Raw genomic sequence first — 15,325 nt, forward strand, 5'->3', positions numbered from 1 at the left:
ACCTGCTGTGCCCCAGGCTCTGTGCTGGATGCTGGGGCCACCGGCCGGGACAGATCGGGCCCCTGCCTCCTCAAAGTTCATAGTCCAGGAGAGAGAAGAATAGGTACAAAGCCAAAAACTTCCAGGAGAAAATATGGCATTACGGACGGTGATGAGAACCCTGTAAGACAGACACAGGAGGCCTGGTGCAGTGGCTCACACCTGTAATCCCAGCACTTTGGGAGGCCAAAGCGGGCAGATCATGAGGTCAGGAGTTTGAGACCAGCCTAACCAACATGGCAAAACCCAGTCTCTACTAAAAATACAAAAATTAGCTGGGCATGGTGGCAGGCATCTGTAATCCCAGCTACTCAGGAGGCTGAGGCAGGAGAATCGCTTGAACCCAGGAGGCGGAGGTGGCAGTGAGCCAAGATCGTGCCACTGCACTCTAGCCTGGGCGACAGAGTGAGACTCGGTCAAAAAAAAAAAACAGACACAGGAGAGAGAAACTGTGACACAGGGGAGAGCCAATGGAGGCTGGGGTCTCAGGGAGGGCTTCCCTGAGGCAGTGACCTCAGCTGAGACCTACAGAATGAGGATGAGGCCGGGTGCGGTGGCTCATGCCTGTGAGCCTGGCACTTTGGGAGGCCGAGGTGGGAGGATCATTTGAGGCCGGGAGTTTGAGACCAACCTGCACAACATTGTGAAACCCTTTCCGTATAAAAAATAGAAAAAAAATAGCCAGGCATGGTGGTGTGTGCCTGTGGTCCCAGCCACGCAGGAGGCTGAAGTGGGAGGATCGCCTGAGCCCAGAAGGTCAAGGCTGCAGTAAGCTGTGATGGCACCACTGCACTCCAGCCTGGGCAACATAGCGAGATGGTGTCTCTACAAAAATTTTTAAAATTAGGCCGGGCGCGGTGGCTCTTGCCTGTAATCCCAGCACTTTGGGAGGCTGAGGCGGGCGGATCATGAGGTCAGGAGATCGAGACCATCCTGGCTAACACGGTGAAACCCCGTCTCTACTAAAAATACAAAAAATTAGCCGGGCACGGTGGCGGGTGCCTGTAGTCCCAGCTACTCGGGAGGCTGAGGCAGGAGAATGGCGTGAACCCGGGGGGGTGGAGCTTACAGTGAGCCGAGATTGCCCCACTGCACTGCAGCCTGGGGGACAGAGTGAGACTCTGTCTCAGAAAAAAAAAAAAAAAAAGAAGGATAAGAGGCCTCAGTGAGATGGGGCAGCGAGGACCTGCCCTTCCTGGGGGGGAACAGCCTGTGTGAAGGCCCAGAGGCGTGAGGTAGCAGAACCTGCCCATTCAGTGGTTTTCAGACCTGAACGTGCAGCAGGACCCCCGGGGGCCTCATTGAAGCCCAGATTCCCGCTCCCTCCCATATCCAGAAGCCCCCCACATTGGCAGGCCCTCATTCAGAGAAGCTGGGGTTGCAGAATTTGCACTTCTCACAAGTTCTCGGGTCACACTGATGCTCTTGGCCCGGGGCCCTCACTCCGAGAACCACAGACTCAGGGGCTTTGTGAGATGAAGACACCGGCCAACCCTCGACCCCAAGGAGCAGGCAAGGGGTGGGGGCCAGAGCCGGACAACCCCAGAGCCCTCACTTACCCTCTGGGTTCTCTAGGAGAATTCCCTTGAAACTCCGGTCCTTGATTTCCCCATCTGGAAAGCGGGTGCTTGATAAGTTTCCTGGTTTCCTGTGGCTGGTGAAGGCACGAACCAAGACGACACAGGTAGGGTGGTTAATGCAGAGCCTGGCCCACAGCAAGTGTTTAATAAATGTAAGCAGTGACTGTGAGCGCTGATGAAGGCTGTGTATGGGATTGATGAAGGGGCAAGAGGCCTTCACCAGGCTGGTGGCCGGTGAAAATGCAGAAACTGGATGGGCGTGGTGGCTCACACCTGCTACATGAGCACTTTGGGAGGCCATGGCAGGAGAATCACTTGAGCCCAGGAGTTTGAGACCAGCCTGGGTAACATACCCAGATCCCCCATCTCTACAAAAAATAAAAACTTGCCGGCTGCAGTGGCTCACGCTTGTAATCCCAGCACTTTGGTAGGATGAGGCGGGCGGATTACTTGATGCCAGGAGTTCGAGACCAGCCTGGCCAACGTGGTGAAATCCTGTCTCTACTAAAAATACAAAAGCTAGTTGGGCATGGTGGCACGCACCTGTAATCCCAGCTACTCTGGAGGCTGAGGCATGAAAATTGCTGGAACCCAGGAGGTGGAAGTTGCAGTGAGCCGAGATCGTGCCACTGCACTCCAGACTGGGTGTCAGAGCAAGACTGTGTCTCAGAAACAAAAACAAAAACAAAGGCGGGCGCGGTGGCTCACACCTGTAATCCCAGAACTTTGGGAGGCAGAGGCGGGCAGATCACAAGGTCAGGAGATTGAGACCATCCTGGCTAACACGGTGAAACCCCGTCTCTACTAAAAATATAAAAACTTAGCCAGGCAGGGTGGTGGGTGCCTGTAGTCCCAGCTACTTGGGAGGCTGAGGCAGGAGAATGGCGGGAACCTGGGAGGCAGAGCTTGCAGTGAGCTGAGATCACACCACTGCACTCCAGCCTGGGCGACAGAGCGAGACTCTATCTCAAAAAAACAAAACAAAACAAACAAAAAACAGTTAGCCAGGTATGGTGGTATATGCCTGGGAAGTTTGCTTGAGCCCAGGATGTCAAGTCCGCAGTGAGCTATGATGGCATTGTTGCACTCCAGGCTGGGTGACAGAGCAAGATCCTGTCTCTAAATAAATAATGCAGAAACCAAGGGCATGGCACCCATGAATGTGCTAGCTGCAGCTGCGTAACAAATCACTCCAAGTTTACCAGCTTACAGCAACACGCAGGCACTGTCTCCCGGCTTCCGTGGCTCAGGAGTGGCTTGACTGGGTCCTCTTTCCACCTTCTCCCACGGTGCCGATCAAGGTGCTGGCTGCGTTGAGCTCCTTCCTGAAGTTGAAAGTCCTTGACCAAACTCCTGTGGTTGTCAGAGGAATGCGAGTCCTTGAGGTTGTGGGACTGAAGTCCCTGATTTGTTTTATTTTGGTAGAGAAGGGGTCTCACTATGTTGCCCAGGCTGGTGTCAAACTCCTGGGCTCAAGTGATCCTCCCACCTCAACCTTGTTTTCTTCCTGACTGTCAGAGTTCACCCACCCACCGTTCCCTGCCTGGCCTCTTCCAGGGACCAGGAGAGAAGGTTCTCAGTTTGCTAAATGGAGGCTTTTTTTATTTTGAGACAGAGTCTCACTCTGTTGCCCTGGCTGGAGTGCAATGGTGCGATCATAGCTCACGACAGCGATTCTCCTGCCTCAGCTTCTTGAATCACTGGGATGACAGGTGTGTGAGCCACTGTGCCCAACTCCAGAGTGGAGTCTTATACAACACAAGTTATCGTGGTGGTGACACCTAACACCTTTGCCCTATTCTGTTGGCTACACGGAAGTCACAAGCCCAGGCCTCACTTAAGGGGAAGGGATTTGCAGGATGAAACACCAGAGGGCTGAGACCATGGGGCCACTTTCTTTTTTTTTTTTTTGAGACGGAGTCTCGCTCTGTCGCCCAGGCTGGAGTGCAGTGGCGCGATCTCGGCTCACTGCAAGCTCTGCCTCCCGGGTTCACGCCATTCTCCTGCCTCAGCCTCCCGAGTAGCTAGGACTACAGGCGCCCGCCACCATGCCCGGCTAATTTTTTTTTTGTATTTTTGGTAGAGACGGGGTTTCACCGTGTTAGCCAGGATGGTCTCGATCTCCTGACCTCGTGATCTGCCTGCCTTGGCCTCCCAAAGTGCTAGGATTACAGGCGTGAGCCACCGCGCCCGGCCACTGGGGCCACTTTCTATCAACCACACCTGGCTCGGGCATGCACCTGCCCTCCCCCATGCATACAGGCCCACATCCATGCCTTCAAATGGCCACAAAAGTGTGCGTGGCCATAGACATACATACTTGCAAGTGTTTCTCTTTTTGTGTTTTGTTTTTTGTTTTTTTTGAGACGGAGTCTTGCTCTGTCACCCAGGCTGGAGTGCAATGGCACAATCGCAGCTCACTGCAACCTCCGCCTCCTGGGTTCAACTGATTCTCCTGCCTCAGCCTCCTGAGTAGCTGGGATTACAGGTGCGTGCCACCACACCTGGCTAATTTTTGTATTTTTAGTAGAGACAGGGTTTCACCATGTTGGTCAGGCTGGTCTCAAACCCCTGACCTCGTGATCCTCCCGCCTCAGCCTCCCAAAGTGCTGGGATGACAGGCATGAGCCACCATACCCGGCCAGTGTTTCTCTTTTTGCATTGCCCACTGGGAAGCTCAGAGACAAAATTATGGCCTGTGTGTAGCAAAGGTTCAGAACCACCTATTGTGACTTCTCTTCCAGCGACATCTCTCGACCTTGGTTGTAATTCATTTTCTCTGGCTGCCTTGTCTGTTTGCAATTCTTTCCTCCCCAGTCTTTCTGGGCCCATAGAGGCTGACAATGGCAGCGGCTTCTGTCTGCTCAGCATCTGAGTGCAGTTCTAAGGACCTTATAAGAATTTTCTCATTTTATGCTTTCAAGAAATCTCCTCCTACAGAGGAGGGATCTGCCACACAGAGAGGTCGTGAGAGCCACCCCAAGGACACCAGCTGGGAGATGGGAGAGCTGGGATGAGAACCTGGACTCAATCCCCAGCGGGCAGATTTTTTTTTCTTTTTAGACGGAGTCTCGCTCTGTCGCCAGGCTGGAGTGCAGTGGTGCAATCTCGGCTGACTGCAACCTCCAACTCCCTGCTTCAAGTGATTCTCCTGCCTCAGCCTCATGAGTAGCTGGGATTACAGGCATGTGCCACCACACCCAGCTAATTTTTGTATTTTTAGTAGAGATGGGGTTTCACCACGTTGGCCAGGATGGTCTCAAACTCCTGACCTTGTGATCCACCAGCGGGCAGATTTGAGAGCTGGGCTACACACTGACATGCTTTACATGCAGAGTGACCAAGCCAGGAGAATCCACCAGCAGGGGACTGTGGCGTCGCAACCCCCTCCCTGGGGTCGCAACCTCCTCCCCGGGGTCTCAGCCCAAGCTTTGAATGTGGGCTGCCACTGGCATAAATAATCGTTTATAGGCCGGGCACGGTGGCTCACGCCTGTCATCCCAACACTTTGGGAGGCCGAGGCGGGTGCATCACGAGGTCAGGAGTTCAAGACCAGCCTGGCCAAGATGGTGAAACCCCATCTCTACTAAAAATACAACAATTAGCCGGGTGTGGTGGCGGACGCCTGTAATCCCAGCTACTCGGGAGGCTGAGGCAGGAGAATCACTTGAACCCAGGAAGTGGAGGTTTCAGTGAGCCAAGATTGCATCACTGCACTCCAGCCTGGGCAACGGAGCAAGACTCCGTCTCAAAAAAAAAAAAAAAATCGTTTACAAATGTGTTCCACCACACATTGATCCCCCACGAGAGAAAGTGCTGCTTCAGGGAATTCTCCCTCGAGTGGCGTCCCCAGGCCGGCCCAGCTGCACCCAACGAAGTCCACACGCCAGGCCTGTCCAGGAGCCCCTTTTGGCCACTGGACAAGGGTCTGGCTGGGCCCTACAGCCCTCCCAGATCTGATCCCCCAACAAAGGGAAGACCAGGATCCAGCGCCACGGTGCCTTCATGAGCTAGACAGGCCCTGAGTCCCGTGCTCCGGATTCCACTGAACAGAACTCTCGTGCACGTTTCCCCACGGCGTGCCCCCCAGCCGGAGCCGGGTGATGGGGACATCATCACAAACTCTGTGCCCTCCAAGGGCTCCCAGGCTTGGAGAGGGAGACAACAGAAAAAGGAGCCCGCCATGCTGGCAGCAGGGGGCACACAGTAGGTCCGCAGCAGGGGAACAGGAGGACGGATTTTACAGGACCGGGCAGGGGCACAGTAGGGCCCTGTTGGCCATACCGACCTCTGACTCCTAGTTCCCCGCCGAAGCCACCTCTTTGCAGCTTTGTGCCCGGGGTCCTCCTTGCACACCTGGGTTTTCCTCGGGCCGCCCTCCGGGTAGAACAGCTGACGTGGATGAGCGCTGACCACGTACCAGGGCCCGGGCCAAGCATGCGACTTACATCTATTCAATAAGTCAACGTGGTCCCCATTTTACAGATGGAGAAACTGAGGCACGGCGAGTGACTTGAGCTGCCCAGGGCCCGTCAGCAGGGGAAGGGGTGCCAGCTGAACTCGGGAGCTCTGGCCTGTCCCGTGGTGAGCCCCACGGCCTGAGTCCACATCCCAGTTCTGCCCTTTTTAAGGTTCAGGGAGCTGCGGCCTCAGTTTGCTCACTCACAAAATGGGAACGAGTGTCCGGAAGGGATGGAAGGGCACATGAACAGAGGCCCCCATTCTGACCATTCTTTTTTTTTTTTTTTTTTGAGACGGAGTCTTGCTCTGTCACCCAGGCTGGAGGGCAGTGGCGCGATCTCGGCTCACTGCAAGCTCCGCCTCTCGGGTTCACGCCATTCTCCTGCCTCAGCCTCCCGAGTAGCTGGGACTACAGGTGCCCGCCACCATACCCGGCTAATTGTTGTATTTTTAGTAGAGACGGGGTTTCACCATGTTGGCCAGGCTGGTCTCAAACTCCTGACCTCAGGTGATCCGCCCACCTCAGCCTCCCAAAGTGCTGGGATTACAGGTGTCAGCCACTGCACCCCGCCTGACGATTCTTAAAGAAGCAAAATCCAGGCCCCCACCCCAGCCCGGCCCCACACCAGCTGGCTCCCAGGAGGCCTGGGCTCTGCCTCGAGCACCCCATTCACTCCTCTCCTGCAGCCCCAGCATTTCTACCCATTGAGAGGAATCAAAAAACAGCCCCAGCCCCAGGAAGGTGGAAGGAACAGAAAACCAGGGCTGGTGCCCACAGGGAAACTGGAACAAACCCATAAAACTGAGGCTGGTGAACCCCAGGCCACCTAACTCCAACTGCACGGGAGCCCCGGTACCATCTCCCCAGAATCCGCCCCTCAGGCCTCAGTTTGCTCACCTGTGAAGTGGGGCCTGCACCGCCCAGCTCAAGGGACTATGAGGGAATCTGCGCAGATGGGGACAAAGCAGCCTCCCTTCGCTTTGTGCAAACCTCTCCTCCTTGCCCCGGCCTCCTCCTGGCCTCCAGAGCAGAGCTGGCCCCCGACTCCAGCTCCCCCAGGATCGATGGGAGGATCAATTCCAGCAGCAGCACCGGGCTGTGGGGGGAGGGGGGCTCCTCTGGGAAGCCTCCAGTTCCCCTCCTCCCTCCCCCTCCTTTCCTCCCCCCTCCCCTTCCTCCCCTTTCTCACCCTCCTCCCATCTCCCCTCTGCTTCCTCCCCCTCCTCCTCTTCCTCCCCCTCCTCCCCATCCCTTCTTCCTCATCCTTTTCCCTCACCTCCCCCTCCCTCCTCCTCTTCCCCCCTCCAGCTTCTGTCCTCTGAGCCTGGCCCAGGATTCCTTGCCCCTCCCCCACCGGTCCACCCTGGCTGTTTATGGGGTGGGCAGAGGCTGGTGGCCGCCCTTGTCACAGCCTTTCCTGAGCACTGTCAGATGTCCTCAAGGGTGCACTGTGTGTGTTTTATCCCCATTCCACAGATGGGGAAACTGAGGCTCCAGAAGGGTCCCTGATGTGGGAAATGAAGGCGGGGCTGGGATTTGAGTCTGGAACCCACCCTCAACCCCAAAGGGGAGAAGCCCCGGACACCACGCAGGCGCTTTGGGAATGAGGCACCCTTGGCGGATGGACTGGGCGGGCTGGGGTCAGAGGTCACCTGCCCTGCCCAGCAGCCGCATGGAGATCACCCAGTAGCCCTCAGGAGTCGGGGCTCCCACTTGTGAACCGGGTACGCCACCCCTGGAGATGCAGAGCTGGCTGGACACGCACCTACCTCCATCTTCTATTCCCCTCTGAGAGCTGGGGGCGGGTGGTTCTTTGGTTTTTCTCCAGGGAATGAGAGGCGCCCTCTCTGGGGGGTAAGAGCCTTGGATCTGCCTGTTTCCTCATCGGTAAAAGCAAGGGGTCAACAGGATGACCCCATCCCTCCCCAATCCCCTTCTCTTCTTGCCGGCGCTATGACCCCTGGGGAGCCCCTGCCCCCAGGCCTGGCAGCCCCCAGGGACCCTCCTACTGGGGCCTGCCACGGTGGGGGGACAATGTTTCCCATTTTCTGCGGAGCCCCCCAACTCTCACCTCCAGGCAGAGGTGAGGTGATGAGGGGCTGGAGGAGGCTCCCCCTCCAATTCCATCCTTGGGAAATGCCACCCTCTCACCTCCTGGCGCCCAGGGAGTTCAGTAATAACAGAAACGTTTTGTTTGGTTTTGCTTAAAGCGAGCAGGAGGGAGAGCGCGAAGCCAACGGCTCCTGCCCAGCCCAATTGTGGGGATTTACCATGGAGGCGATTACTGAGCGGAACTGCGGGCGGCTCTGCTCGGAGGGTCCCGTGCTTGTTAGGGAGGTGGGAGAAACAGCAATTACAGCTGTTAGCACCGAGGGGAGGGGAGGAGGGGGAAGGAGAAACGGAGGAAGCAGAGGAGAGGGGAGCAGGGAGAAGGAAGAAGGAAGAGTGGATGGGGGAGGGAGAGGAGGCTGGAAGGGAGGAGGGGAGGGCTGGAAGGAGAAGGGGGAGTAGAAGGAAGGAAAGGGAGGAGCCAGGAGGGAGACTAGGAATGGGAGGAGGGGGGAAGAGGGAGAGGAGGAGGGGGAAGGAGGGGGGAAGGGGGAAGGAAAGTAGAGGAGGGGGTAGGAGGAGTGGGAAGAATGGGGAAGGATGGGGAGGAGGGAGAAGGGGGAGTAGAAGGGGGAAGGATGGGGAGGGAGGGGAGAGGAGGAGTGGGAAGAATGGGGAAGGATGGGGAGGAGGGGCAGGAAGGGGGAGGAGGGAGAGGAGGAGGAGGATGGAGGAGGAGTGGGGAGGAAGAGGGAGGGTGAGGAGGAGGGAGAGGAGGAAGGAAATGGAGGAGGAGTGGGGAGGAAGGGGGAGGATGGGGGAGGAGGGAGAGGAGGAGGGAGATGGAGGAGGAGGGGGAGGAAGGGGGAGGATGGGGAGGAGGGAGAGGAGGAGGAGGATGGAGGAGGAGGGGGAGGACGAGGTAGGAGGATCCTCACCCTTCAAGAGCATCAAGTTTTCCTCCCCAGTGGGAGAAGCTGAGGCCCAGAGAGAAGTCTCTGCTCTGACACCCCACAAGAGCTTTCCCAACCAACAGGCCCCTCTGGGACTCCCTCTATGCCCTGCCCAGGGCCCCACAGGGCTCGCTCTGCTTCCTGCTCTCTTGCTGCAGGCCTGGAGCTGGGAGGTGGGCAGGTGATGGCCAGAGCAGGAGGCGGCTGGCCCCTTCCCCTGTCCGCTGCCTCAAATGATTAACCAGTGCGGCTGGAGTGAGGAGTGGACACTGGGAGCCGGTTCCTCAAATACCCTCCACACCTTTGACCGGCGCATGGGCCAGAACGGGGGACCCCTCCAGCTCAGGCTGAAGAGCTCCCCCAACTGCCGGGTCCAGAGGGTCCTGCGCTCCCTGGGATCGCCCGAAGGGCTGGGTCGGAGGGGGACCCTGGCGCAGGGAACGTTCTCTGTAACTGAGATCCGCGTTTCTACTCAGGAGCTCAGCTGAGACTCTCTGCGTGGCCAACCCTCTCCAGAGACCGGCTCCACCGCCAGCCAGATTGGATGCTGAGCGTGTCCACACAGCACGCACTCACTGGGACTCAGCGTGCTGGGACTCAGCTCCCCGCCGCCCAGTCCCTCGGGCCTAGGTCAGCTCGCCAGCTGGTGGCCTGAGGCAGATCTCAGGACCTCCCTGTGCCTCAGTTTCCTCACCTGAAAAATGGGAATAATTGGAGTTGCTTCCTCAGAGTACCCCTGCCCCTAGCTCCCTGCAGGTACAGTGGGGATGGGGCAGGAGATAGAGCGGGGACCTGCAGGACGTACCCCTCCCCCAGGGAATGGGGGACGCCACCCCACCCCTGGCGAGCCCGGAAGGTGGCTGCTGATTGAACAATGGGAGAAACAAGCTTTCTTCTAGCGCAAGGTGACTCACCTGCTGGCCCAGGGACAAAGCTCCCCCAGCCACTCCCCACCGCCCGCCACCCCCCACCGCCCGCCACACACACACACACACACACATACACACACACACACCGCACAGCACGGAGAGGGGGTGAGTCATTCCACCCCACCACATCTGTGATGGCCTCCCTGGGTGCGTACTAACCTGTGGGGTGGGGGGATTATACTAAGGGCCGCCCGGGACCCTCCCTGCTTGGCCTCACAGCCAGGGAGAGAAGGCCCAACCACCCCCAGCCTGGCATTCAAGGCCTGGCTTTGAACACATGCCCCCCCCCCACACACCCCAGCTTCATTCAGTTTTATCTCATTGACTCATTCAACAAACATTCCCTAATGAAGTCCTGTGAGGGCCCCGAAACTGGGCTAACGCCAGACGCCTCCCCAGCCCCACCGCCTCTTCCTCAGATGACAAGGAGTCTTTTCGTCCTTCCATTGGCCTACCTGACTTGGACTCCTACACATCCTACAAAACCCAACCTCAGGGCTCCTCCTCCAGGAAGGGAGGACTGCCGCCTCCCCAGTTCTGATCTCAGGGGGATGGGGATGACTTTTCCCCTCCCTAAGTATGGGAGCCCCAGCGGGAGGGACAGAGGCTGTGGCCGCAGCTCTAGGGTGGTGGGGGCAGGGGAGCAGGAGTGATCTGAGAAGTTTGCTAAATCCAGCGAATGGCCTGGTTCCCCTCCCCCATCCCCGGTCTGCAGATTCTGCCTAAGGAGGTGCGAATCCCTTCCCCTTTCCCCATTCCCCATTCCCCAGTCCAACACCCCCTCCCCACCCAGAGGTCCACGAGGCGAGACAGACCCAAAGAGAGAGGCAAGGACGTGGGCGTTGGTCGGTCTTGCGGGGAGGAGGTGCCGTGCTCTCCCCACTTCCTGACCCAGCAGAAAGCGCCCGGGCGTGTCCAGATAAACCGCGCCTTAATCGAGGCGCCATTCCGGCCCGGAACAGGCCAGGCCCAGGTGAGGCTCAGAGCCAGATGCGCCCAGCCTAACCCACCTGGGGACGCCCCTCGGACCCTCCCGGGGCGGGGTCCTCACTCCCGACCAGGACCTCTGTCTCTGCATCTGCGAAGTGGGCGCCCCCAGGCCTGTGCTCCCCCCACCCACCTGTCGTCTCGTCTCGGCTTTCAGGGTGCAGAGTGGACACTCCCAGGTGTCCAAGCCGGCGAGCTCGGGTCCCGCAGAACCGGCGGCCCTGGAGACGCCCCGAGGGCAGCCCCGCTGCAGCCTTGCTCGGGTCCCCTAGCCCGGCGCCTCCGCAAACCAACCCACCGCGGGCCGCCGAGCCCCGCTCCGGGATCCGCCGGCTGCCTCCATCCCAGAAGAGTGCGCAGAGAATTAAATCTAGATATTTACATGTTTAATGGCTAAAGGAGCCTGTCTTCTGGCAGGGCAGGGAGGGCGCTCAGGTGGTTTAACTCAGCGCCGGGATCCCGCTCAGCTGCGGGGGCCGCGAACCCCGCCGCTGGGCCGACGATTGGGCCCCTCCGGAGCGCGGCGCCCAACGCGGGTTTCGTTGCGTCGGGGAAGTCCGTGGCCTGCAGCGTCCAGTCCCCAGGCTGTCAGCCGAGCCCTGGAGTGGGGCGTTCTCCAGGCCCCCAACCCCTGATCCAGGCCGTTCCCCTCCCGCGCACCCTCCGGCGGGGGCTGCAGCCCGCGCCCCTCGCCGCCAAGCCCCATTTTCCCACAGTGCAAACTGCAGCAAACGAACTGGTTTTCTCCTGAGCGCACGCTGCGGGGAGACGATTCCAACGGCGTCCAGTGAGGAGGGGCCCAGGCCTGCGAGACGGGGCGCGTTCCTGTCCCCAGACCCCTCCGGCTGCGCCTCAACCCCCAGCCCGGCTCTCTGACCTGCATCGGTCGGGCCGGGCACAGAGGAGGCAAAGCAGGCGGAGGCCGCGAGAGGAGAGCAGCCTGACCTCCCGCCTGAGCCCGGACCCTTCCCCTCGGGCACCCTCGGACGCCCCCGCCCCAGCGTGTTACTTTCTAGATGGGGAAACTGAGGCGCGGCCAGGGCGATGCGGCGGAAGTCCCGCGCCCGGCCGTCTCCCGCGCCTGCCAGACAGAGCCCCGAGAAGAGGGCATAGAATTCCCTCCTCTAATTGTGTCCCAGAACTCTGGGACGACGGAGGCCAAGCTGCTGAGGGAGGGGACGAGGACGCGGGGCCCCAGGGACCAACCCCTCCGCTCCCCGGCCAGCCGCGGCCGCCCAGCCTCGGTGCCCCGGCGCAAACAAGCGCGGTGTTTGCCGAGCGCGAGGCGGGCGGCGCGGCCCGAGAGCGATGAGGATTCGATGGAGCCGCTCGCCGCGGCGGGGGCAACGGAGCCCGGGCGGGCGCGGGGATCGATCGGGCACAGCTGTCGCCTAAGAGCCCGCGGGAGCATCCACCCGCGGGCCAGAGCTGCCCGGGCGCCCCGCAACTGCGGGCAGGAAATCCGGGACGTCGGGCCCGCCAGGGGCGAAACCCCAAAGTCGCGACACCCGGGGTGGGGAGGTCAGGACGTCCCCACGGCCAACGTGGAACCTTCGGGAGCCGCGCGCTCAGCCTCGCCGGGACCCCCGCCAGGCCGTAAAAGCCCAGAGTCTCCCCCCAAATCTAAATAAAATCCCCAGACCCCGCCCGAACGAAGGCGGCTGGAGTCCAGAGGGAGAACTCCTGCCACACACTAGGCACCGGCGGCCGGGATTTGGGGCGCCCGCAGGTTTCGGGGGCCGGGAGTGGGAGCAGAGCGGATCTAGGGCTGCGGCTGGGCTTGGGTGGGGCGCGCATTCATTGCCATCGTTTAGTAAAACCTCGCTTTAATAAAAGCAGGGAGGGGTGCGCAGAGCCCGGACACTTTCATTTCGGTGGGAGACAAATCGAATCAGAAAGTCAGTTGGGGGCGCACTGTGCAGGGTTCTGGGGGAGCCCCAGGAAAGGAAAACTTGAGGTATCTGACTCTGCCTTTGATATTTTTAGCTGCAATGGGAGAGTCAATAACAACAGGGAAGGTGGTGTGTCCAAAAATGGGGGAGGTGTGGAGGATTAAAGAGGGGGTTCAAGCTTAGGGGGTCCGTTTAGGGAGTTTGAAGCCGTGGAGAGTGCGCACCCCTGGGGCATGGGTGGAGGCCCCCAGTCCTCCCCTCCACCCGCGGGACTCTCCAAGCCCTGAGGTTGGCAGGACCAGAGGCTGCCCTTTTTGACTCCTCCCAGACGCAGGCCAGGCACAGAGAGGGTGAGCGTTGGTCTGGGGCAGCCCAGCACCTGCTGAGGTCCCCCTCCCCAACTCCCAGACACAGACTCGGGCTCTGGGAGTCAAACTTTCATCTTCCTGGAGGGGATACTGAGGCCAGAGAGCTTCCTCGAGGTGGCTGAGGTCCCTGTGGGGTGGGGAAGGGGGACTTCTTGTCCCGATCCAGCCCACCCCTCCCCCTGCCCACAATTTGCCTAATGACCCAGGATCGATCTGGGCCTGGGCAGCCAGCCTACCCGGTGGCCGGCTCAATTCTATTTTACTAATTACTAAAAGGCTGCTGCTGGTGGGGAGAAGCAAGCTGGGGGCTCCAGGGGGCCACAGTCCCTCTCTTGGGGCCAGCAAAATTCTGTTCAATCTCTCAACGGGACCACAGCCTCTACAAGGAGTGAGATCCCCATCCCTGGGGGAGTCCAAGTGTCCATCAGCCGAAGGGAGGGGTGAGGGGCTTCGCAGACCTGGATAGGGTTAGGTCCACCAGGCTGGGCTGCCCCTTCCAAGTCTAGGGAGCTTTGGAAGGGGTCTGTGGCCACCTTAGCGTGTCCTGAGGCAGCAGAGGGGAGAGGCCCTCTTCCTCTCGGAGTCCCTGACCCTCGTCTTCTCTTTCAAAATGGATGCTTTCCCTGCTAGAAAAGCCACACACGCTTGCTATTAAAATGAACACGATCATCAAGCTGTAAAAAATATATTTAAAAGGAAGCCTGCAAAATCCCAGCTCCCTAGGAGCTCCCCCACATTGGCATTTGGGGGAACTTCCTTCCACCTTGTTATCCTCCCACCCGTAGAGACCCCCAGCCCCCACCTGGTCTGCGCTTCTTGAGCCTGGGATGCTAGCGTTTTATGGCGGCTGATTGATTTTTAGATCTCACGATTATTTTTAATTATCTGTGATTGTTGGAGGGTGAGAATGAGGAGCGCAGGCTGGGGCTCTGTGCAGCCACATCCCCCCCGCCGAGATTCAGCATCTGCACGGGGAGTGGGGTACGCGACTGTTCGGACCTGCCCCTCTCTTCCCACCTGGAAGATGGGTGTAATTATGTAAACTCCAGAAATTATACCTGAACCCTGGAACTGGAAAGTTTAGGGACCGACACTTCAGGGGGCAGGAGTTAGCACTTGGGCAGATGTAGGAATGAAGGGGGGAACTCTAGGGCCACCACCCCCCCACCTTGGGCCAGAGACACCCGGAAAAATTGTGATTTGACTTCCCCCTCTCTGGGGCTGAGAGAGGAGAGTATGCCTGGTAAATAACAGGCACTTACTAAATGCCGAGCCCTAAGCAGCGAGTACTAACAGGGGTCCCCTTCAGCCCTATCCCTCCCCAGGACTTGGATCAGGCCACCTCAGGCTGGGGGCCCAGATCATTCAGGCCCCCTCTCTCTCTGGCTGTTGTGGTCAGCATAGACTCACCTCCGGCTCCCAGCTGGGCAGGCTGGAGGGCACCCCCTCCCACACCAGAGAAGGGGAAACTGAGGCACAGAAAGGGCCCTATTCCAGAGCCAACCTAGTCTTGGTTCAGAAAATCGCATCTCCAATGTGTAGCCACGTCTACAGGGGCCAGGAAATCTGGATGCAGGTGCAAAGCTGGGGCCGGGGTTTGCCCAGAAGGTTTGCACCAAAGGGGAAGTGACAGCCTGACTGTGTCCTCCCCTCTTCCTTCAGCTTTGAGCCCTGATGCAACCCTCTGAGATGGGGGTAACTGGGGGCTCCCGCGAACCGACTGCCTGACCCATCCCCTTCCTCTTCTAGAAAGTGCACAAGCGTTACCCCGGGGGTGGGGGGGGCAGAGGCAACGGGGAAGCAGGAAGGGGCTGAGGCTGGTTTTGGACTCTGCACCGTAGCCTCTGGCCTACAAGACAGAGCATCCTCTAGATTCTGGTCTGGCCCCTCCAGATCCGCAGCCCTGACCTTACCCCACTGGCGGGATCTAGTCCCCTGGGGGTCTCTCTGATTATAGGAGCCCTTCCCCCATCTATCCCAGTTCCCAGGGGCCCCTGGGGCTCACCTGTCTCCAGGTGCTGAGAAAAAGGAGACCCCTGCCTCCCCCCACATTGAAGAGAAGCCCC

At 59.2% G+C, this 15,325-nt stretch overlaps 7 annotated features.

The window, feature by feature from the left end:
• Nucleotides 5,930-6,429: an enhancer, noted in NCBI's record as "H3K4me1 hESC enhancer chr19:1743285-1743784 (GRCh37/hg19 assembly coordinates)". NCBI's record gives its function as "activates a minimal SCP1, AML or CMV promoter by ChIP-STARR-seq in naive and primed H9 embryonic stem cells {active_cell/tissue: H9 hESC(naive and primed)}" and the evidence as "EXISTENCE:reporter gene assay evidence [ECO:0000049][PMID:30033119]".
• Nucleotides 6,596-6,818: a silencer, noted in NCBI's record as "fragment chr19:1743951-1744173 (GRCh37/hg19 assembly coordinates)". NCBI's record gives its function as "represses an EF-1alpha promoter that drives an FKBP-Casp9 reporter gene in an ReSE screen in K562 erythroleukemia cells {active_cell/tissue: K562}" and the evidence as "EXISTENCE:reporter gene assay evidence [ECO:0000049][PMID:32094911]".
• Nucleotides 9,758-10,957: an enhancer, noted in NCBI's record as "P300/CBP strongly-dependent group 1 enhancer chr19:1747113-1748312 (GRCh37/hg19 assembly coordinates)". NCBI's record gives its function as "activates an origin of replication core promoter dependent on BRD2, BRD4, P300/CBP, MED14 and CDK7 cofactors, with strong dependence on P300/CBP, by STARR-seq in HCT116 cells {active_cell/tissue: HCT116}" and the evidence as "EXISTENCE:reporter gene assay evidence [ECO:0000049][PMID:35650434]".
• Nucleotides 9,758-11,034: a biological region, named in NCBI's record as "P300/CBP strongly-dependent group 1 enhancer GRCh37_chr19:1747113-1748312".
• Nucleotides 10,515-11,034: an enhancer, noted in NCBI's record as "H3K27ac-H3K4me1 hESC enhancer chr19:1747870-1748389 (GRCh37/hg19 assembly coordinates)". NCBI's record gives its function as "activates a minimal SCP1, AML or CMV promoter by ChIP-STARR-seq in primed H9 embryonic stem cells {active_cell/tissue: H9 hESC(primed)}" and the evidence as "EXISTENCE:reporter gene assay evidence [ECO:0000049][PMID:30033119]".
• Nucleotides 11,035-11,553: an enhancer, noted in NCBI's record as "H3K27ac-H3K4me1 hESC enhancer chr19:1748390-1748908 (GRCh37/hg19 assembly coordinates)". NCBI's record gives its function as "activates a minimal SCP1, AML or CMV promoter by ChIP-STARR-seq in primed H9 embryonic stem cells {active_cell/tissue: H9 hESC(primed)}" and the evidence as "EXISTENCE:reporter gene assay evidence [ECO:0000049][PMID:30033119]".
• Nucleotides 11,080-11,129: an enhancer, noted in NCBI's record as "active region_13624". NCBI's record gives its function as "activates an Ori minimal core promoter by ATAC-STARR-seq in GM12878 lymphoblastoid cells {active_cell/tissue: GM12878}" and the evidence as "EXISTENCE:reporter gene assay evidence [ECO:0000049][PMID:35858748]".

The sequence above is a fragment of the Homo sapiens genome, chromosome 19 (assembly GCF_000001405.40).
Source record: "Homo sapiens chromosome 19, GRCh38.p14 Primary Assembly".
Lineage (NCBI taxonomy): Eukaryota > Metazoa > Chordata > Mammalia > Primates > Hominidae > Homo > Homo sapiens.